Genomic DNA, 20,437 nt, shown 5'->3' with positions numbered 1-20,437 from the left:
GCCCCAAGGATTTTAACTGTCACTACTTAAACATCTAAGTTAGAATCCAGACCAAATACATTGCTAGAGAAAACACTAATTCAGAATATAGTAAACTTCTGAGAAATTTCACCTCTTGAAAAGAAGCCAAAATCTGTTTCTTAAACATTGATAAACACGCTACAGAAATGCTACTTTACCAATATAAGACATTCCCCAAATGAAACCTGGCATCTGGCTTACAATGAACGAAGTTCATAGATAATGAAGCAAATAGCAAAAACTTAAACAAAATTTGAAGGGAAAGAACTGAATATAGTTCTTTCCCTTAGGGTGAATATACCTTAAGCTTGTTAATGATCTTTTTAAGAGATTTACACTTCGATAATGATGCTAGTCTAAAAGGTTTATTTTACACACACACAGCTATTTTATCCATTTTAAGATAAGTTCCAAATTTGTAAAAAGGCATAGCATGCTTTAAATGCTTAGGAAATAAATCTGACTCAATCTTTTTTCATAAATATTTTTTCATTAAATTAAGAAGTCAACATAATAATTTTAAACTAACAGTTGAATAACATACAAAACCAAGTACACAATAAGGAAAGACCCAAAATCTGGATCGGTTATTTCTCCCAAATTCCATTCCTTAAGAAATTAAGTGTTTATAGGCCAGGTGTGGGCTCACCCCTGTAATCCCAGCACTTCAGGAGGCTGAAGTGGGAGAATGGCTTGAGCCCAGGAGTTGAGGCCAGCCTGGATAACATGCTGAAACCCTGTCTCTACCAAAAAAAAAAAAAGTGTATTTTACACACACACACAGCTACCTCTTATTTTTTGAGATGGAGTCTCGCTCTGTCACCCAGGCTGGAGTACAGTGGTACGATCTCAGCTCACTGCAACCTCTACCTTCCAGGTTCCACCGATTCTCCTGCCTCAGCCTCCCGAGTAGCTGGGACTACAGGTGCATGCCACCACACCCGGCTAATTTTTATATTTTTAGTAGAGACAGGGTTTCACCATGTTGGCCAGGCTGCTCTCGAACTCCTGAGCTCAAGTGATCCGCTCCCTTTGGCCTCCCAAAGTGCTGGGATTACAGGCATGGGCCACCATGCCCAACCACAGCTACTTTTTTTTACCAAGTTCTAAATACAATTTCTACTTTAAGTTAAAGTGTGATAATCTACATATGCAATAAAGGCCAGGCGCGGTGGCTCACGCTTGTAATCCCAGCACTTTGGGAGGCCGAGGTGGGCGGATCACGAGGTCAGGAGATCGAGACCACAGTGAAACCCCGTCTCTACTAAAAATACAAAAAATTAGCTGGGCGTAGTGGCGGGCGCCTGTAGTCCCAGCTACTCGGAGAGGCTGAGGCAGGAGAATGGCGTGAACCTGGGAGGCGGAGCTTGCAGTGAGCTGAGATCGCACCACTGCACTCCAGCCTGGGGGACAGAGCGAGACTCCGTCTCAAAAAAAAAAAAGCAAAAAGCAATAAAGTGCTAAATCTAAGAATGCTATGCAAGTAAGGCTTATGATACATTTACTGAACAAATCCACTGGGTTCTGGTCTATACTCCAACGGCTAGACTGTTCTGTAATTTGTCTTGTGATATCAAGAAAGATCTAAGAATGCCAAGAAGCCCATACTGCGTGTTACTAATTAGCTGCTGGACTGCGTGTCATCTATTTACTGTTGCCTGGTCTAGTTACATACTGTCTTAATTTTAATTCAGATTTTATAATAACATTTACTGAATAAATATGAATCAGATTTATCTCTTGCAGAAATTAATTCACATTAGATCGTTTCCTCCTGCCCCTTTAATCTAAGTTGCATAGCTACTCAAAAGCTATGTTAATCCCCATCAGCATTAAGCATTTGCTGAAGACTGGCCCAAGCATGGTGTCTCACACTTGTAATCCCAGCAAATTTTGGGGGGCCGAGGAGGGCAGATGATTTGAGGCCAGGAGTTCAAAGACCAGCCCAGCCAAGAAGGCGTAAACCCATTTCTAATAAAAATACAAAAATTAGCCAGGTGTGGTGGCATGCTATAATCTCAGCTACTCAGTAGGCTGAGGCAGGAGCATCGCTCTAACCCAGGAAGTGGAGGTTGCGGTAAGCCAAGATCGTGCCACTGCACTCCAGCCTGGGCAACAGAGCAAAACTCCATCTCAGGAAAAAAAAAAAAAAAAAAAAGCATTTGCTGAAGACAAAATAAAAATGTTCTGTTTTCCAATCATATGTAGCATCTCCTAAGGTTAAAATATACACATGAAATGTAACTGAATTCATAATGTCTTGTTCATCACACACAGGTTTTTTTTTCCCCCAGTTTTATTGAGATATCACTGACATACCAAAACTACTGAACGTAATTAATGTATATAATTTGGTGAGTTTGGACATATGCATACACTTGTAGTTCCATTAGCATAATCAAGGTAATAAACGCATCCATTACCTCCAAAAGTTTCCCTGTGTACCCCTCTGGTTTTCTGCCATAAGAGCACGCAACCTGAGATCTACTCTTAAATTTTCAAGTGCACAATACAAAGTACGCTTACCACATATCCTAACGTAATTGTATTATCTTGTGTTATTCATTGCTTCATGAGTTTTTCTGAATAAACTACAGTCCTTCACAATTATCCTGGGATTATGAATGCTTTTATAAATGACTTTAACGCAAGTAAAGCCAGAAAAAGTGTAAAAACTTTATTTTGTCTAGGCTAGATCTGGTTCAAGCAAGGAGAGCTTTTAAGTCAAGTATAAGCTGAAATTATACTTTTGTAGCTTCAAGCAATAAACTTCTATTTTTGTTTTGTGCGAGTAATATGTTTCTCTGCATTCTTTTCCATTCTCAAGGAATTAAATTCATTACCAGTTCAGTTTGGATCATTAAAAAAACAAAGAGTATCCACTGTAAGATTCCTAAATCTTCCCATTTTTTTCTTACTCAAATCTTTAGGCTTTCATTGTCACAATAAACAATGCTTGGAAAGCTCCTGTCTACTTTAACTTTCTCACTAGAACATTAGAATACAGGCCCTGATTTCTAAACGCGCACAAGACTTGTTCAGCCTAATTTGAAAAAATATTGATTACACTAACATTTTGATGGGGAAATAAATCAGACGCAAGCTGGAAATTTTTATTTACTTTATTCCAAATGTAGGCACATCATCTAGCCTCAGTATTACTTTCTGTCAAGATAAAACCACATGTGTTCCATCTAATTCAAGAAAGAATATATATGAGCCAGGCACCATGGCTCATGCATATAATCCCAATGCTTAGGGAGGCACAGCAGGGGAAAATCACTTGAGGTCAGGAATTTGAGACCAGCCTGGGCAACACAGCAAGACACCCATCTCTATGAAAAATAAAAATTAGCTGGGCTTGGTGGCACATGCCCGTAGTCCTAGCTACTCAGGAGGCTGAGGCAGGAGGATGGCTTGAGCCCAGGAGTTTGAGATAGGAGCCCAGGAGGGAGGGAGGGAGGGAGGAAGGAAGAAAGAGAGGGAGAGAATGAGGGAGGGAGGGGAAGGAAAGGGAAGGAAAGAAAGAAAGAAAAGGAAAAACTACGTTAACATAGACCTACCAAATAAAAAGAAACAAATGCATACTCTGAAATTTACAAGATACTTGTGTCTCCAATAAAAATGGCTCAGCATGAGCTTAAGGAGCTAGACTAAGAATTCCAGGCTCCCAGATGTTTCAAACGTCCAAAGTAGAAACATTAAATATTGTAACACTTTAAATGGAAGTGAAGATTTTCCATTTAACATTAGAAATTAAGTAGAGTGATAAAACAATTTAAGGAATCTTTTTGTTGCTGTTCTCCTTCTAACAAAACTATATACTCCAATATTGGGCAATTTGGAACATAAACCTCCAAAGATTAAGGATTCTTCTGCCTTACATATGCACTGACACTCTCCTGGAACCATACACCAGACAGCTACCAATCCCAAGAATGCAAAGTTCCTCCTCCCATTCTTGAATGCACTAGACATCTGCCCATTCTAGAAACATTTTTACCAGTATTTAATTTTCTTCAGACACTATTCTACTTTGAAAAATAAACTTCTACAATTTACGTAACACAAAAAGGAAAAATACAAACCAGACATATAGCTGCAGTATTTGTGATTCCTTAAAATGTCTTCCTGGTTTTTAATATGAAGAACACTGTGCTTTGCTTGAGCAACTGGTCCATTTTCGTCTCACCAACATAATTAATATTTACCTTCAGGGTACTGCCTGAATTCTTAGAGTGCAACTGGCAGCCATCTAGCAAGCTCTCTACTCTATAAAAATACAAAAGTTACTGTATTTCCTTAAGAACTATTTTTAGTAGCCTAATATTTTGCTCCATTGTGTATCTATCCTTATTCTTCCTTTTCATCCACATCTAATGCAAACATCTTGCCAGTTTTTAATATTATGACTAAAGCATTCTTAAAAGTCTTCATCCTTTCTGGATCAGAGTTACACATAAATACATACCTACATCTAATAGTACATATATGAATTCTGCCCCCTCTCAAAACCACAAAAAGACAGCCAAACACTCCTCCCCTACAAACACACCTTTTCTTACAGGTTCAAGGTAATGTATAAAGAATTTTCAGAACTCTTCTCTCCTTAGAATACGAGGAGTTTTCTTTATAATATTTAAATTATTTTCATCAAGGCAAAGTTCACATAGAATACATGCCTTTTAATTGTTTTAATTTTAACATTCTATATAACAATTCGTTTTCAACTATTCTAGTTCTGATTCTTGGCAATCTTGGTCCCAACTCCTTTCCTTCCACTCCTTTGTCACATGGTTCCACCATGCATATTACTACTAAGTATGTCTTCCTAAAATATAACTGTATACTAAAAAAACTGTGACTTCTGGTAACAGCATTCAGGACAGACTACAAAGTCTGGTCTCAACTCAAAAACAATCTGATAAAAAAGGGAGAAAGCAGGCCTGATTTCACTTCTGCTACTCGTCGTATTACTCTGGTTTCAATTCTGCCACTAGTTATATTATTCTTGGTAAGTTGCATCTCTGCAGATTTACCTTAGAATTTATTGTATCTCTTCATTACTTTGGATAACAAACTAGGAATTTTACAACTACAACACATAACACTAAAGAGCAGTTTCCAAATACGAAAGTTTTTAGACCAAAGCTGAGAAACAGGTCTTTCCTTTCCCCATGCAGGGCTGTCAAGATGACTCTAATTAGGATAAATATTTAGGAACTTAGAAAGAATAGTGACATTTTTGTTGACTGTTGGCTATTTATTTTGGCGGGATATTTGTTTCAAAAGGTTAGACATTCGACTTAACTAATATATACAATCTCAACTATCAAGAACCACCTTGGTACAGTAGTTAGAAATCTAATGCAAATAGGCTGGGCGTGGTGGCACACGCCTGCAATCCCAGCACTTTGGGAGGCCAAGGCGGGCGGATCACGACGTCAGGAGATCGAGACCACCCTGGCTGACACAGTGAAACCCCGTCTCTACTAAACATAACAAAAAAAAAAAAATTAGCCGGGCGTGGTGGCAGTTGCCTGTAGTCATAGCTACTTGTGAGGCTGAGGCAGGAGAATGGCGTGAACCCGGGAGGTGGAACTTGCAGTGAGCCGAGATCCCAGCACTCCAGCCTGGGCAACAGAACAGGACTCAGTCTCAAAAAAAAAAAAAAAAGATACCTAATGCAAATAGTGCAAGTTCCTATGATTTGTTAACTGGAGTTTAATGGTCATACATTCAAATAGGCAAAGCATGATCATCTTTGGACATATACTGATAACCATTTTAAATCAGTGAAGACAACTATGAAATACTCAAATGGCTTTGACTGTCCATAGTAAAATCTAAAACCCAGATGCTATTTCAGAAATATTTAAAAAGCATAAAGGCACTGAAAGAAAATAAAAAACATTTTCAGAGCCTTAGTCAAGCAAGACACGGAACGCAAAAGCCATAAAAACAGGTTTACTTACATCAAAATATTCCAACTTTTATATAATAACAATATAGCACATAAGGAAAGTTAAAGCAAATGATAAAAGGAGAAAATACATGCAGCTTATGCCAAAACAGCAACAGTCTGAATACATAAAGAATTCTTCAATCAATTTTTAAAAAAGTTTCACTGCATATCAGGGAAGCAAATTAAGACAACCTGATTAATGAAAAACAAAATTTAATATATGTGGTAAGAATGAAAGACAAAAAACCTCCAATGTTGGCCATGGTGTAAAAAAAACGAGCCCTTATTCATCACGATGAAAGCAAACTTGTTACATCATTTTAAAAGGCAATATGATATTTATCAAAATTAAAAATGCACATACCAATTTTAAAAGTTTGTCTAGCAACTTTATCTCCAGCGATCTATTTATTACAAAAATACTAGGACAGAAGGTTCAAACTGAAAGCCATGAAATTGGAAGACATATTCTCTTTAATCACACATTTTTAAAATATAAATTACATAAAAAGCTAAATCCCCAGGCCTGGTGCAGCGGCTCAGACCTGTAATCCCGTCACTTTGGGAGGCTGAGGTAGGAAGATCCCTTGAGCCCAGGAGTTTGAGACCAGCCTGGGCAACATAGAAAGGCCCCATCTGTACAAAAAGTTTAAAAATTAGCCAGCTGTAGTGGCATGCACCTGTAGTGTAGTCCCAGCTACTCAGAAGGCTGAGGCAAGAGGATCTCTTGAGCCCAGGAAGCTGAGGCTGTAGTGATCTGTGATCACACCACTGCAGTCCAGCCTGAGCAACAAGCGGGACTCCATCCCCAAAAAAAGCAAAAAACAAACAATAAAAAATATATACATTTCCAGCCACTGCTAGAGTATGGGTGCAAAGACTGGAAGACAGACCAAAATAGGGACCCGAATTCCAGCACAACAGAAATAAGCTTGAAATGAGCAGTGTCTATCCCAGGGCTATCCCCTAAAAAGGGAGCTTCTTTGGTACTTAGTTCATTCATTTGTAAATTAACTCTCTTGATCTCATAGGTTCTGGAATTTGAACCTTTCTCACAGAACTAACACAGAAAGGTAATCAAGGTTGTTCACTGAGCAGAGTATGCAATGAAGTAAAACTGGAAACCACCTAAATATCCATCAGTAAAGAACTTGTTAATTACAGTACATGCTTACAACTTAAAACTATGCCAAAATAAAGCAATGAGATAGTATGTTTAGCAGCATGTGTATCAGGAGAAAAAAAAGTTGCAGAATATAATTACGATCATAGCTGCCATCTACTGAAATTTCAACATAACCCACGTATTAAGTCAAGCACTTTACATTATTCCCAATTTTTTCTAACAACTCTTACTATTAAACTAAGAAAGAAGGCTTGACTAAGTTTACTGGACCAGAATATGAACCCAGATAGCTGATATCATAGCCTATAATAATCATCTCTATACTGAGGCACCTCTGCACATCATTTACAATATGTAGTCATATAGATAAAGATATATATTTTTTTAATTTTAGAGATGGTGTCTTGCTCTGTTGCCCAGGCTGATCTAAACTCTTGAGCTCAGGCGATCCTCCCTTATAGCTCAGATTACAGGCATGGACCATGACACCCAGTTTTTTTTTTAACTATTTGTATATTATGTCCATAACACATTCATAGAAACACAATCAAGCAGAATTGAGACCGTAAAATTTTACCTTATATTTTATAAACTTGTTTCAACATGTTAAATTATTTAAAGTAAATATTAATAATCTTGCAAAAGTTGAAAGTCAACTAATTCTACCGTTCACCATTAAATTAGAATAGTTATAGCAAGGAGGCTAAAATAACCCCCTATAATGGCAGCAAGGGGCACCAAACAAATCTTCAAATTAAAACAATAATTAGCTTTTGGTTATTAGCTAAAAACTCAGTTTATGCTAATTAAAACACTATTTTGTGAAATAAACAAAGATTTTTAAAATAGCTTTTTAGTGCAATACTCTGTGGCTAGAAATAGTAAATCCAAAGCAAATATTGCTTTATTTATTGCTCCAGGAAGCTGCTAGGGCGGCCAAGTTATTAAACATCAACTCAATTTTCCTAAAAGCACTTTTTTCTCATCTACCTTTTGTCAGAAAGTACAGTATTTATGAGGTTGAAATGTACCAAATTCCTAAATATGCATAAAAGACAATGCTAAATAAAATCAGAAATACAAAGATGCTTAAGGTAGTCTCTGTTTTCAATGACAATCTCAAATTTAGTCTGGGATTCAGATCCTTAAACAACAAGTGCAAAGTAGAAGTTTGGGAAAAAAACCATTAAAGAAACAAAGATAAAATCATGACTATGCCAGAAGGTGTACACAGTAAATGATCGGAAAGGAGAGGCGTAATCTAGGCAGACGACTAACACACAAAAGGACAGAACATCATATTTCCATTGGTGTTTTCCTTAAATAGTTAATGTTTAAGTACTTTGCATCTCAATTTAATTTTTTTTAATAGAGTCAGGATCTCACTATGTTGCCCAGGCTGGTGTCGAACGCCTGGGCTCAAGCAATCCTCCCACCTTGACCTCCCAAAGTGCTGGGATTACGGGCATGAGCCACCACAGCCCGCCTGTGTCTCAATTTATACAAAACTCATCAGGCACTACTGATTAATCCCCACCTAGTGATATTAGGCATTTGGAACAAGTTGTGGCCCATGATATTAACAGAGTCAACTGCCCCAATTTATAGCTACTACTTAACAGAAAACACTTTATTATTTGCATGATAGAGTTAAAACTGAAAGCCAAACTTGCTAAATATTCTTCTTTGAAACCAATCAGATAAACTACAGTTAACTTATTTAAAGTAACAATTCATCACAGTAGAATTTGCTGTTTAAAGGTCTTAACCTTAATGTGCTCATTCAAAGGACATGAACAGAAAAGATACAAGGGATCTCTCTAAAGTATCTCAATGTGCATTAAATATTAATTATTAGCCAAAATAATACAATCTCCTTTTTCACAAGGTATACGGCATGATAGTAGCTTACAGGCAAGATTATCGCCAAAATAATCTATTTGCTAAGAAATTAAAACGATGGTTAACTGGCCCACCGTAAGGTGTTCTGTGTAAGTGGTACTAAAAATATTTAGATCCCACTATATTCTTAAAAACGTACTGCAGGTGGGCCATCCAGCCAATATTTAGTAAAGCAGCAGCAGAGGCTCAAAGATGATGTTAATAGTTTGTTTATGCTCAAGGGGAATAAAGTATGTATGATAAAGCCCAAGGCCAAACTGAAAATTCAAGGTTGCTTATGCAGAGAAAGGGTACTTGCTGTTCAATTACTACAATGGCCAAGTTATTTTTCCTCACTTCCAAAGGGTACTTCCAACTGCCCCTTTGCGCACAAGCGCACGCGCGCGTGTGTGTTGTGTCCCTCTCTCTCATATGGCTAGGAGAAACTTAAAAAAAAAAAAAAAAGCCAAATTGTACACTGCTACATCAACTTGCCAAGTACAACTTGAAAATGAAAGAAATGTAAATTTAATAAAGTATGAAACAGGACCTGAAAAAGTACGAAAGAGTGTGAAAATGTATCAGAAAATAGTCAAGATTATAGTAAGTCATAGTATTACAGACACTAATTTCAGGAAATGTAATTTAAATGTTTCTAATGATCAAAATGACAAACACTATTCTTGATCAACCTCAAAATTATAAAAACTGCCGTAAAATCCAAGAATCCAATTTCTGGACAAAATATAGAGGGAATAAAAATTTGAAAAATAATTCTGTAACAAAAGAGGAAGAAAGAAATCTAACAGAATGCCTTTATTTTTTCTTTCCCAAATCCTTAGGTTTCCACAAATGAGATTGCTATACAGTTCAGCAGGCCTACATACAATCCAAAGATTAAAAAAAAAAAAAAAAAAAAGCAACTCCCACAAAAGGTACTGGCCACAACAAAGCGGCGTCTAAGTGGCAAATCTGTGCATGGCTTTAAATAAGAATATATATGCAAATAAAGCCACTGAAAGTAGTCGTGTGCCACGTTAACAGAATTCTTCAGTCAATGACAGACCACACATATAACAGTGGTCCCATAACAGCATAATACCGTATTTTTACTATTCCTTTTGTGTTTACATACATTTAGATACACAAATGCTTCCTAATGTGTTACAAGTGCCTACAGTATTCGGTACAGTAACATGCTGCCACAGGTTTATAGCCTAGGAGCAACAGGCCATATCATTGGTGCATAGGCCTAGGTGCATAGCAGGCTATACCATTTAGGTTTGTGTTAAGTACACTGTTCCCACAATAAAATCTGAAAAATAACACATTTTTACAGAATATATCCAATCATTAAGCAATGCACAAGATCTCAGGTTCTATAGTATGTTACATTCTGTGTATACTACAAGTATACACTATATGTTACTTTTGTTTATATACTTTTGTATACATTTTTATTATGTAAATACTTTGAGATTTACATGTTATACACACAAAAAAAATTGAGCTTGAAAATTAATTCTACTTGAAACTATACAGAGATTCCAACTGGCCAGGCATGGTGGCATGAGCCACCTGTAATCTCGGCAATTTGGGAGGCCAAGGTGGGATTGCTTGAGCCCGGGAGTTTGAGAGCAGCCTGGGCAACGTGGCAAAACCCTGTCACAGTAAAAAATACAAAAATTGGCCACGTATGGTGGTGCGTGCCTGTAGTCCCAGATACTTGGGAGGCTGAGGTGGGAGGATCCCTTGAGCCTGGGAGGTCAAGCCTGCAGTGACCCATGATCACACCACTGCATTCCAGCCTGGGCAACAGTGAGTTCCTGTCTCAAAAATAAATAAAGACTCCAACTGAGCTAACCACACATGGTTCCCTACAGTGTCCACAGGAGATGGTATAGTGTACTGGAATGACAATGCAACACAGAATCCAGAGCTGATTTAAGCCCCAATCTACAATTTAGTACCTTTATGACCTTGGTCAGGTATTCTTTTGAGCCTCAACTTTAACCAACTTTTAGGGGAACCAATTACCTCCTATAATGTTGCTGCTTTGTAAATCATAAACTGGCATTGTCCAATTATTTAAAAGCTGCTAGGTAATTAGAACCCTGAACATACAGAATAAAAGAGACACACACACCCTCCCAAAATGAGAACTAGCTAAGAAGCCAAATGGTCTCATTTTACCTGAAAGAAGCTAGCTTTATAAACTTGCCTAGATAAAACTGAAGATGAAATTTAATTGTAATGTTAACCTAAAGTTGACTTAGTTACCCAAGAATAGAATGTTCTGATGAGCCAAAACATTTTCAAAGTTGTTATCAAGCCAGAACTGGCTTCTGCCTTAAGAAGGTGAGGAAAACAATCAGGGATAGGAACTGAGTAGGCTCATAAATTTACTCAACTCCAATACCTTGCCTTCCAACTTCTCTACCAAAAAATATGGACTGAAAACATGTTTAAGGCAGAACACCACATCTCAAAACCATAATCAACATTTACTGAGCAGCAATTCACTACAAAAACTCCAAATTTTAAAATCTGAGAATCAAAATCTCCCACAGTTCTGTTATCTTTCCTAAAGGTTATCTACTATATTGTTTTTCACTGACAACAACAAAAAAATTTTATTTAAATCACAGACGGTTGGGGTGGGCTGAGGTGCAGTGTTCAGAAAACCACCAGACAGTGTTCAGAAAACCACCAGAGGCCAGGCGTGGTGGGCCTGTAATCCCAGCACTTTGGGAGGCCAAGGCAGGCAGATCACCTGAGGTCAGGAGTTCGAGACCAACCTGGCCAATACAGGGAAACTCTGTCTCTACTAAAAATACAAAAATTAGCTGGACGTGGTGGCACGGGCCTATAATCTCAGCTACTCGGTAGGCTGAGGCAGGAGAATCACTTGAACCTGGGATGCAGGGGTTGCAGTGAGCCGAGCTAGCACCACTACACTCCAGCCTGGGCAACAGAGCAAGACTCCATCTCAAGAAAAACGAAAAACAAAAAAACACCAGAGGTGCTGCATGGACAGCTCATACCACCACTGAAAAGTCTACTTCATCTTGGGGCAGCTGTTCTCAAGCAGGATTTCTCAAGTTTTCAAACATTTTGGTCTCAGGACCCCTTTACGAGTTGTAAAACTCTTAAAATGTATTGAGCACTCCAAAGAGCTCTTTCTTACATGCATTATGCTTACCAATATCCACTACATTGGAAATTATAACTGAAGAACTTTTAAAGTATTTATTCATTTAAATAACAAGAAACTCATTACATGTTAACATAGCTTTAAAAAACTATTTTCGGCCAGGCGCGGTGGCTCACGCCTGTAATCCCAGCACTTTGGGAGGCCGAGGCAGGCGGATCACGAGGTCAGGAGATCGAGACCACGGTGAAACCCCGTCTCTACTAAAAATACAAAAAATTAGCCGGGCGCAGTGGCGGGCGCCTGTAGTCCCAGCTACTCGGGAGGCTGAGGCAGGAGAATGGCGTGAACCCGGAAGACGGAGCTTGCAGTGAGCGGAGATCGCGCCACAGCACTCCCGCCTGGGCGACAGAACGAGACTCCGTCTCAAAAAAAAAAAAAAAAAAAAAAAAACTATTTTCCAAAACAAAAAATTTAGTAAGAATGGCATGCTTTTGCATTTCTGTAAATCTCTTTAATTCTGGCTAAACCAAAGATGGCTGGATTCTCATAGCTGCTTCTGCATTCAATCTGTTGCAATAAATTGTTCTAGTTGAAGCATATGAAGAAAACCTGGCATCAAACCAACATTATAACTGTTTCTTTTTGTTTTGTGGAGATGGCTATGTCACCCAGGCTGGTCTTGAACTTGTAAGCTCAAATAATCCTCCCACCTCGGCCTCCCATAGTGCTGGGAGCAACATTATAACTGGAAAAGAGGAGTATTTAGTATTTTCAATTAATATGAGTAGTCTTCTTTGATACTACACCAGAACTCCACAAGTGGCAGTTTTGCAAAGATTAGTTACAATATGAAAGTTAAAACCCTATTAATAAGCCCTTGGTACTCTGTTGCATTAAAATCTGGTTTACCTTGCACTCTGAATGTACCCTTGAATGCACATATGATTTTATTACATCACAAATGGTCATTTGGAAAATATGGGTTCACTGAATTATACAGGTCTACCAAATATTAAAAAACATTCTTTTTTTAAGCACACATTATACAGCATTAAAACTATATGCATTAATATTACCACCAATGTCAGCAGAAACATCTTTTAAGTATTGGGAAAAACCGTCAAGCTCATGATGGAAAAGCAAGCTTTCTAAAATTCTATATTTTGCTTGAAAGCTCCAATTTTTCACTGGCCAGGAATAGTCAGTTGTTTACCTTGGAGTGACAGACTTGCTTTATTCTCATTTAAGTCTCCTAAATACTCAAATATGAATATCCACAGTTCATCACTTGTTCTTTCAGATAAAAATGGAGCTCCATGAGAACACCAGTTTAGCTCACAAATCAACATACAAGTGCTCCTCAAAACCACCATTCTACTCCCCAGTATACAGCTTCACAAGTACTTTCCGTGGTCACAGTACATTAAATAAACAAAGTGTCAAGATTTAATAAAATTAACCTCCTTTTACTGTTTCATCAAAAGCTTTTTAAACTATGAGTGTGCAGTCTTCAAGAAATAAAATGACAGCCGGGCGCCGTGGCTCATGCCTGTAATCCCAGCACTTTGGGAGGCCGAGGTGGGGGGGGATCACGAGGTCAGGAAATCGAGACCATCCTGGCCAACATGGTGAAACCTCGTCTCTACTAAAAATACAAAAATTAGCTGAGCGTGGTGGCGTACACCTGTAGTCCCAGATACTTGGAAGGCTGAGGCAGGAGAATCGCTTGAACCCGGGAGGTGGAGGTTGCAGTGAGCCGAGATCGCTCCACTGCATTCCAGCCCGGCGACAGAGCAAGACTCCGTCAAGAACGGAAGGAAGCAAGGAAGGAAGGAATCAAGCAAGGAAGGAAGGAAGGAAATGACTATATACAATACCGGTTCTCTGCCTTGATTGTTCCTATGATGGATACAGCATTTTCCACCACTGCTTTTGCACCGTTAAGTACAAATGTTGAAAGACAAAACATCTCAATAACATGAAAATAGTTTGAACATTATGTACCCTCTGAAAGATCTCAGTGGTCCCCCTCCCCAAGCATCCACAGATCCCGCTCTGGGAAGCACAGACCATCCACCAGCAGGTACCAGTTCTGCTTGTTATGGCGATGTAAAACTACTACAATTCCCTCTTTTTTGTGCAGCCCCCGAAAACATTTTTGCTATTGTCTCGCCTAAACCTTGCAGTAACTCTTTTTGGTAACTTTGACAACATTCTATGCATGTGGCATAAATGCTACTGATACTGGTTACTCTCCTTCACACCTTTTTATCATATGTGTGATACTCAGAACTGAGCTGATGCCAAAAATATCTGACCAACACAGAGTAGGGCAGAAATACATCTAGTTTCCATAAGGGCATCACACTTTTCGTTAATGCCGTGGTTCTCAACCAGATTTTGCACCCCAGGGCACATCTGGTAATATCTGGAGACATTTTTGATTGTCATTACTGGGGAAATGGAGGGGTGGAGCTCCCGGAATCCAGTAGGTGGAAGCTAAGGCTGCTGTTAAACTACAATACACAGGACAGGCACCTGCAAGGAATGAATCTGGCATAAATGTCAATAATGACTAGGTGAGAAACTGTTTAATGGATCCAAAGACTATCAAAACTTTCAGAAGCTTCACCACCATGACTCTTAAATCAGACTATAATCTTTCCAAAAGTATGTTTGTAGCTACATATGAAATTTAGACAAAATATGGACACTTGATCAAAATGTTCTGTAATATCCTAAATTTCGATAATTTTGATTTAAATTCATTCCGACAACTCACCTAGGGTCCATGCCCCAATGCCACTCACCCATCCAAATTTAACATTAGGACAGGTATACCAAAAATGAAAGCCAAACACAATATAGCCGGGAAATCACAATCCAACACATCAAAAAAACAACATTTATGACAGTGTGACAGCAGTACATGAAAAACAAAGCAACTTAATGAGGAAGAAGCCCTATTTTTCTTTAACTAGGCATTCTTTGGTCTCTCTATTGTTTACTACAGTAATTATCGTATACTTACTTTTTGAGTCTCGCTCTGTCACCCAGGCTGGAACGCAGTGGCATGATCAAGGCTCACTGCAGCCTCAGCCTCCTGGGCTCAAGCAGTCCTCCCACCTCAACCTCCCAAGTAGCTGGGATTACAGGCATGAGCCACCACGCCCAGCTAACTTGTGTTTTTTGTTGAGATGAAGTTTCGCCATGTTGCCCAGGCTGATCTCAAACTCCTGGCCTCAAGCGATTTACCTGCCTGGGCCTCCCAAAGTGCTGGGATTACAGGCGTGAACCACCGCGCCTGGCCCCGTCTTCCATTTTACACACTTGAACTAACTCGCGAAGAATTTGAAATACCTAAGGTCTTTCACAGAAATGTATACCTTCCCTCTTCAAAGAATGTTGGGGGAAAGTAGGTATAAAAGTACTTTTAATTCCTAGAAATAAGACACAAATTACTTAATGTTATTTCTTCATTGAAGCCTTTTAAGGTTTACATCTATCATTTTTAATGCTGGTATGATTATCAGAAAAAGAAGTCCCTTTTCAAAGACAGCAAAATGTTAACTTAATAACGCAGTCATCACGACATCACTGCAAACATTTATCTCCTATTGAACTGAGAAACACCACAACAATCTTGCTTAGACTCAGTTCTCCTAGGGTCTCTTATTCTATGAAAGGGAAAAATCAATAAACAGAAACCATGCAGATTCCAAGATTTTAGACCTGTATAGTTAGTTAAGTCTAACAAACGTTTTCATCACAGAAGTAATGTGATAGACTTCTTAATAACCTAAGGGGGTGGGTGGGAGCCATGGAAAATCCTTTTAAAATACATAAATTGCGATAGAAGTCATTAAGGTCTGTGCCAAAGTTAGAGTCTCACCTGTAAAGAAACACATTCACACACATATATAATTGTAAAACTACAATCGGTGATTATGTGCTAAAGAAATTATCCTTACTTACAAAAAAAAAATAGACCTGAGTTACTACATTCGATGTCTAGAAACCACAAAAATCTTTATCCTGAATTTAACCAAAACTTTGAGTGTCAATTACATGTTGCGTTTTGAGGCTACTAAGATGAAGAAAACTCGGTCCCTGGTCTCAAAGAGGCACTCTTACGCTTCAATATTCAAAAATGGAAGAAATGCAGTCTCACTATTTAGGCCTCTACAATGCTGTATATTTGCAGGAAAAAAAAAATCCGTAATCTACTGGCAATGAGCTGCCAAATTATATCTCATTATCAGAAAGGGGGAGGGGAGAAAAAAACTTTTTAAAAACCCACCAAGAAAAGAAAAAGGCGCAGTGGCATTAGAAAGCATAAAGAGACTAGCTTCAAGCCTTACAACCAGGAAAAAAAAAGTATCACCAGAGATAGAGAAAGAAGGAAACAGAATGAAACCTGGTTACCCCATCAAAACAAAACAGGGAAAGCAATACATAAGTCGTTTTGGAGGAGGGCACCCTGTGAAGTGCCCCCTTCTCCGACCGCCTGTGAATGCTAGGGAGGCGGAGGTGGAGGCAGGCGGACTCAACGCTCAAAGCTGGGCTTTTAACTCGTGCTCCTACATTCAGACAAGGTCAGTGGAAAGGGGCTAACTCCGGCGCACAAGACAGGCATCTGGAAATGGGAGGAAGAGAGTGAGCAAACTGAGACAGACCAGGAACAGAAAAGCAACATCGAATGGGCCCGAGGGGCGCCGAGAGCGAGCCCGAACCCCAAGTGCTGATCCCGCGTGCAGCAGGGTCGTGGTTCCCCACCACCAGGCAATGTTTTGTTTTCGGGTTGTTTTGATTTTCTTTGTGGACGGGGCGGAGAAGCTGGAGTGGCCGGGCGAGTTAGAGGTTCCGCCAGCAATTCCGGAAGGGGAAGGCCCCCGGCCCGACGGCAGCTGACCCAGCCAGGAAGGGTCGGGGGACGCGGGAACCCAGCACACGGGGGGAAGTGCGGCGGCGAGCGAGCGAGGAAACAGGAAGGTCCCCAGTCCTGCCTGCCTCCTACCAGCGGGGAGGGTCGGGCTCGCGTGCCACCCTCTCCGCCTACCTCTTCCCCTTCCCGGACGCCCCCCAAGGCCCAGCCGGCGAGCGAAAGAAAACAGAATACAAATTACTTACAACGGCATCGTCTCCGGCGCCGGCACCGCCCAGTCACTTCCCCCCCGCAACCGCCGCCGCTGCCGCCCTGGGCATGATCCACTGAGGCGGGAGGGAGGGGGGGGCCTGCCTCAGCCCTGGGTCCAACCCCTCTCCCGCACCGCTCCCGCCGCTTTAAGCGCTTCTCCTCCTTCCCCTTCGTCCTAACATGGCGCCCGAGCGCTACCACAGCAACGTTCTAGAACTGCTGACGCCACCACGCACGCCGTGCGTGCGCCTGCGCACCAGCGCCGTCCGCCGCGAAGCCTCACGGGAAGCGGAGTTCCTAAGGCCGCCTGCGGCCCGGCAATTACCCCCTGGGTCCTCTCACACTTAGCAGTGGGTGTCAGATGGTGGAAGGGAACGCTCAGGGAGGCCCCGGGCGGTGAGTTGTCCCTCGGGCGGGGACGCCCTCGTGGGCAGTGCGGCGTGGACGGCGCAAGGAAGAACCCGGAGAGATCCCAAGCCACGAGGCACCGCTTCCGGCGCATTGTGAGGTCCCACCTTTCCCGCCGCCTGAGGTCGCGGCGGCTGCTCTTTCCCGGAGCAGCGTCCCTGGAGGCGCTGCCAGGGGGTGAGGCACCCACGCGTGCACCGTATGTACCCCCCAGCGCGGCGCTTAGAACGACTCGCATGAGTCGCTGCCTTGGGTTGGAACCGGTTACTCCGCCGCTTCGTACTGGACTGCAAAGTAACAAGTACTTCGCCGGGCAGCGGTGCCGACCCCGTGTGCTACGGCGAGAGGTGCTTAGCCTAGAGCCGACGAAAACATGTCCCCAGGACTCCCTTTCCCTCCCAGACTGCGTCCCACCAGATGGAGCTTTCCGTCTGTTTTAACCACCAGTGTATTCCTGATGCCTGACCCAGGCGCTGAAATATTTGTTGAACGAATAAATGTGTAGGTTAGGACTGACGACAGTCCGCGAATTCTGGAACACGGGCTGATTTTACTTTTGAACAAATGATGCACTGGAACTTCCTGACAGAGCTGACCTTTTATAGGAACATCAATGGCAGTCACCGCTGGCATTTTAGCAAAGGTTGTCTTGGTCATAATTTCCCCTTGACTGTGTTTCCAGCCCTTAATCTATATCGGGTGGGACCTGGAAGTCTACCTTCTCGCCACCCCTCGGCAAAAGTTTGAGAAAGTGTTTGAGGCAGAGCCTCCTCTCTCATATGCCCTCCATCTGCGAATTAGAACGAATTATAAGTTCTACGGTGTCACATAGGGGGTTAGCGGAGAGGAAGAGGGAAAGAATCAAATACAGGACGCTGCCTTAACCAAAGTTCTAAACTCTAAATGTAATAATGTGCATTTGTGAGTCCTCAGGAAGTTTCACAAAGGCTTTCCCTTTTTTCACAGAATGTCTAGTAGGACTGGTGACTCCGAATGGGAAAAACACAGGACCTAGACCTGCCCTGTCCATTAGTGTAGCCCCTTGGCCACTTAGGGCCACTGAGCACTTGAAATGAGGCTAGTTCGTTTAGGAGGCACTGGAAGTGCAAAATACGCACGGGTGTCAGTTCGACGAATGTGAAATACCTCACTGATCACTTTTTATATTGATTGCACGTTGAAATATTTTGGATATATTGCAGTAAAGAAAATGTAAGCCGGGCACGGTGTCTCACACCTGTGATCCAGCACTTTAGGAGGCTGAGGTGGGAGGATCGCTTGGGCAGGAGTTAGAGACCAGCCTGGGCAATATAGGGAAACCCCCGTCTATACAAAAAGTTAAAAAAAAAAAAAAAAAAAGAAAAAAGAAAAAAAAATTAGCTGGGCATGGTAGTTCCTGCCTGTGGTCCCAGTTACTCCGGAGACTGAGGTAGGAGGATCCCTGGAGTGGGAGGTGGAGGCTGCCGTGAGTCGTCATCTCACTACTGCACTCCAGCCTGCGTTGACAGAACGAGATCCTGTCTCAAAAAAAAAAAAAAGAAAATATACTATTAAAATTAATTTTACCTGTTTTTTTAAATGTGACCACTAGAAAATTTTAAGTTATATATGTGGCCTTCATTTCCATTAAATAGTGCTGATCTGCAAACAGACTTATATTTGATTGTCATTTCTTCCATTTAGTCTCTTTTCCTCTTGTCATCAAGGTGGCTTTGGCTGGAGACCCAGTAGCATAGTTGTCCCTAAAAGACTGAAAATCTGAGATCCAGATAATTCAATAATGTATTAAGGCTATGGACTTCAAAGCAGCTTGTAAAGATATGCCCTGGGGCCTGGCACAGTGGCTCACTCACACCTGTAATCCCAGCACTTTGGGAGGCAGAGGATTCCTTGAGCTCGGGAGTTCTAGGCCACCCTGGGCAACGTGGCAAGTCGTTGTCTCTACTAAAAAAAAAAATCAAAAAAATTAGCTGGCCTTGGTGGCACACACCTGTAGTCCCAGCTACTTGGGAGGCTGAGGTTGGGAGGATCACCTGAGGCAAGGAAGTTGAGACTGCAGTGAGCCCTGATCATGCCATTGCACTCTAGCTTGGCAACAGAGCAAGACATTGTTCAAAAAAAAAAAAAAAAAATGCACTAACGATGTACTTTATGAATAAAAGAATGGGGACTTTTTCAGCTTATGTTGTCCTCTGCCAGGCATCTCAGAAGGCAGTGAAGAGAGGGACGCTAAACATCCATGCTTTTGGTCTATAATTGCTTCAAACTATTTTTGTTTCAGCCTTCCATAGAATGAGGCAGCTAGATAGCACAGCTGATGAATATTTAGTACCTAGAATGTGCTAGATATCACGCTACTTGCCTAAGGCATTTAAAAGGAACAATATTGAGGATTGAGGATGGAGTCAAGGTAGACTTCATGTAAGAGGTCACTTCAGACACGTCCTGATATGTTAGGGTTTGGTAAGTGGACAGAAGGAGTAGAAGGGCATCTCAGGTAAAGAGAACAATTTTTAAAAATAAAATGAGGCCGGGCGCAGTGGCTCACGCCTGTAATCCCAACACTTTGGGAGGCTGAGGTTGGAAGATCACTTGAGGTCAGGAGTTGGAGATCAGCCTGGCAAACATGTTGAAACCCCATCTCTACTAAAAATACAAAAATTAGTCGGGCATAGTGGTGGGCGCCTGTAATCCCAGCTACTCAAAAGCTGAGGCAGGAGAATCGCTTGAACCCAGGAGGCACAT

General features: G+C 41.1%; 1 protein-coding gene and 1 long non-coding RNA gene across 11 annotated transcripts in view, besides 9 other annotated features; one reads left to right on the top strand and one right to left on the bottom strand.

Annotated features, from left to right (window-relative positions):
* PAPOLA (poly(A) polymerase alpha) overlaps nucleotides 1–17,502 on the bottom strand; it is a 64,741-nt gene extending 47,239 nt beyond the window's left edge. For 6 of the 10 annotated variants that reach the window (NM_032632.5, NM_001363662.3, NM_001363665.3 and 3 more), the window contains exon 1: nucleotides 17,278–17,496. In NM_032632.5, coding sequence (NP_116021.2) covers nucleotides 17,278–17,285 — 8 coding nt within the window. In that variant the 5' untranslated portion in view covers nucleotides 17,286–17,496. Of the gene's footprint in view, nucleotides 1–16,923; nucleotides 17,028–17,277 lie in introns of those variants that run through there. The other 4 variants (NM_001293627.1, NM_001252007.1, NM_001252006.1 and 1 more) reach the window with 2 other exon arrangements.
* Nucleotides 14,847–15,346: an enhancer, noted in NCBI's record as "H3K4me1 hESC enhancer chr14:96970869-96971368 (GRCh37/hg19 assembly coordinates)". NCBI's record gives its function as "activates a minimal SCP1, AML or CMV promoter by ChIP-STARR-seq in naive H9 embryonic stem cells {active_cell/tissue: H9 hESC(naive)}" and the evidence as "EXISTENCE:reporter gene assay evidence [ECO:0000049][PMID:30033119]".
* Nucleotides 15,347–15,848: an enhancer, noted in NCBI's record as "H3K4me1 hESC enhancer chr14:96970367-96970868 (GRCh37/hg19 assembly coordinates)". NCBI's record gives its function as "activates a minimal SCP1, AML or CMV promoter by ChIP-STARR-seq in naive H9 embryonic stem cells {active_cell/tissue: H9 hESC(naive)}" and the evidence as "EXISTENCE:reporter gene assay evidence [ECO:0000049][PMID:30033119]".
* Nucleotides 17,004–17,599: an enhancer, noted in NCBI's record as "NANOG-H3K27ac-H3K4me1 hESC enhancer chr14:96968616-96969211 (GRCh37/hg19 assembly coordinates)". NCBI's record gives its function as "activates a minimal SCP1, AML or CMV promoter by ChIP-STARR-seq in primed H9 embryonic stem cells {active_cell/tissue: H9 hESC(primed)}" and the evidence as "EXISTENCE:reporter gene assay evidence [ECO:0000049][PMID:30033119]".
* Nucleotides 17,004–17,682: a biological region, named in NCBI's record as "NANOG-H3K27ac-H3K4me1 hESC enhancer GRCh37_chr14:96968616-96969211".
* Nucleotides 17,183–17,302: a silencer, noted in NCBI's record as "silent region_6055". NCBI's record gives its function as "represses an Ori minimal core promoter by ATAC-STARR-seq in GM12878 lymphoblastoid cells {active_cell/tissue: GM12878}" and the evidence as "EXISTENCE:reporter gene assay evidence [ECO:0000049][PMID:35858748]".
* Nucleotides 17,423–17,682: an enhancer, noted in NCBI's record as "active region_8987". NCBI's record gives its function as "activates an Ori minimal core promoter by ATAC-STARR-seq in GM12878 lymphoblastoid cells {active_cell/tissue: GM12878}" and the evidence as "EXISTENCE:reporter gene assay evidence [ECO:0000049][PMID:35858748]".
* On the top strand, nucleotides 17,552–18,230 carry PAPOLA-DT (PAPOLA divergent transcript). The gene has a single exon (NR_122121.1). It is a non-coding gene; the product is annotated as a PAPOLA divergent transcript (long non-coding RNA).
* Nucleotides 17,600–18,194: an enhancer, noted in NCBI's record as "NANOG-H3K27ac-H3K4me1 hESC enhancer chr14:96968021-96968615 (GRCh37/hg19 assembly coordinates)". NCBI's record gives its function as "activates a minimal SCP1, AML or CMV promoter by ChIP-STARR-seq in naive and primed H9 embryonic stem cells {active_cell/tissue: H9 hESC(naive and primed)}" and the evidence as "EXISTENCE:reporter gene assay evidence [ECO:0000049][PMID:30033119]".
* Nucleotides 17,741–18,084: a silencer, noted in NCBI's record as "fragment chr14:96968131-96968474 (GRCh37/hg19 assembly coordinates)". NCBI's record gives its function as "represses an EF-1alpha promoter that drives an FKBP-Casp9 reporter gene in an ReSE screen in K562 erythroleukemia cells {active_cell/tissue: K562}" and the evidence as "EXISTENCE:reporter gene assay evidence [ECO:0000049][PMID:32094911]".
* Nucleotides 18,195–18,791: an enhancer, noted in NCBI's record as "NANOG-H3K27ac-H3K4me1 hESC enhancer chr14:96967424-96968020 (GRCh37/hg19 assembly coordinates)". NCBI's record gives its function as "activates a minimal SCP1, AML or CMV promoter by ChIP-STARR-seq in naive H9 embryonic stem cells {active_cell/tissue: H9 hESC(naive)}" and the evidence as "EXISTENCE:reporter gene assay evidence [ECO:0000049][PMID:30033119]".

This window comes from Homo sapiens, chromosome 14, assembly GCF_000001405.40.
Source record: "Homo sapiens chromosome 14, GRCh38.p14 Primary Assembly".
NCBI classification, from domain to species: Eukaryota; Metazoa; Chordata; class Mammalia; order Primates; family Hominidae; genus Homo; species Homo sapiens.
The sequence above is the reverse complement of the archived record's forward strand: the minus strand, read 5'-3'. Positions and strand labels throughout refer to the sequence as shown.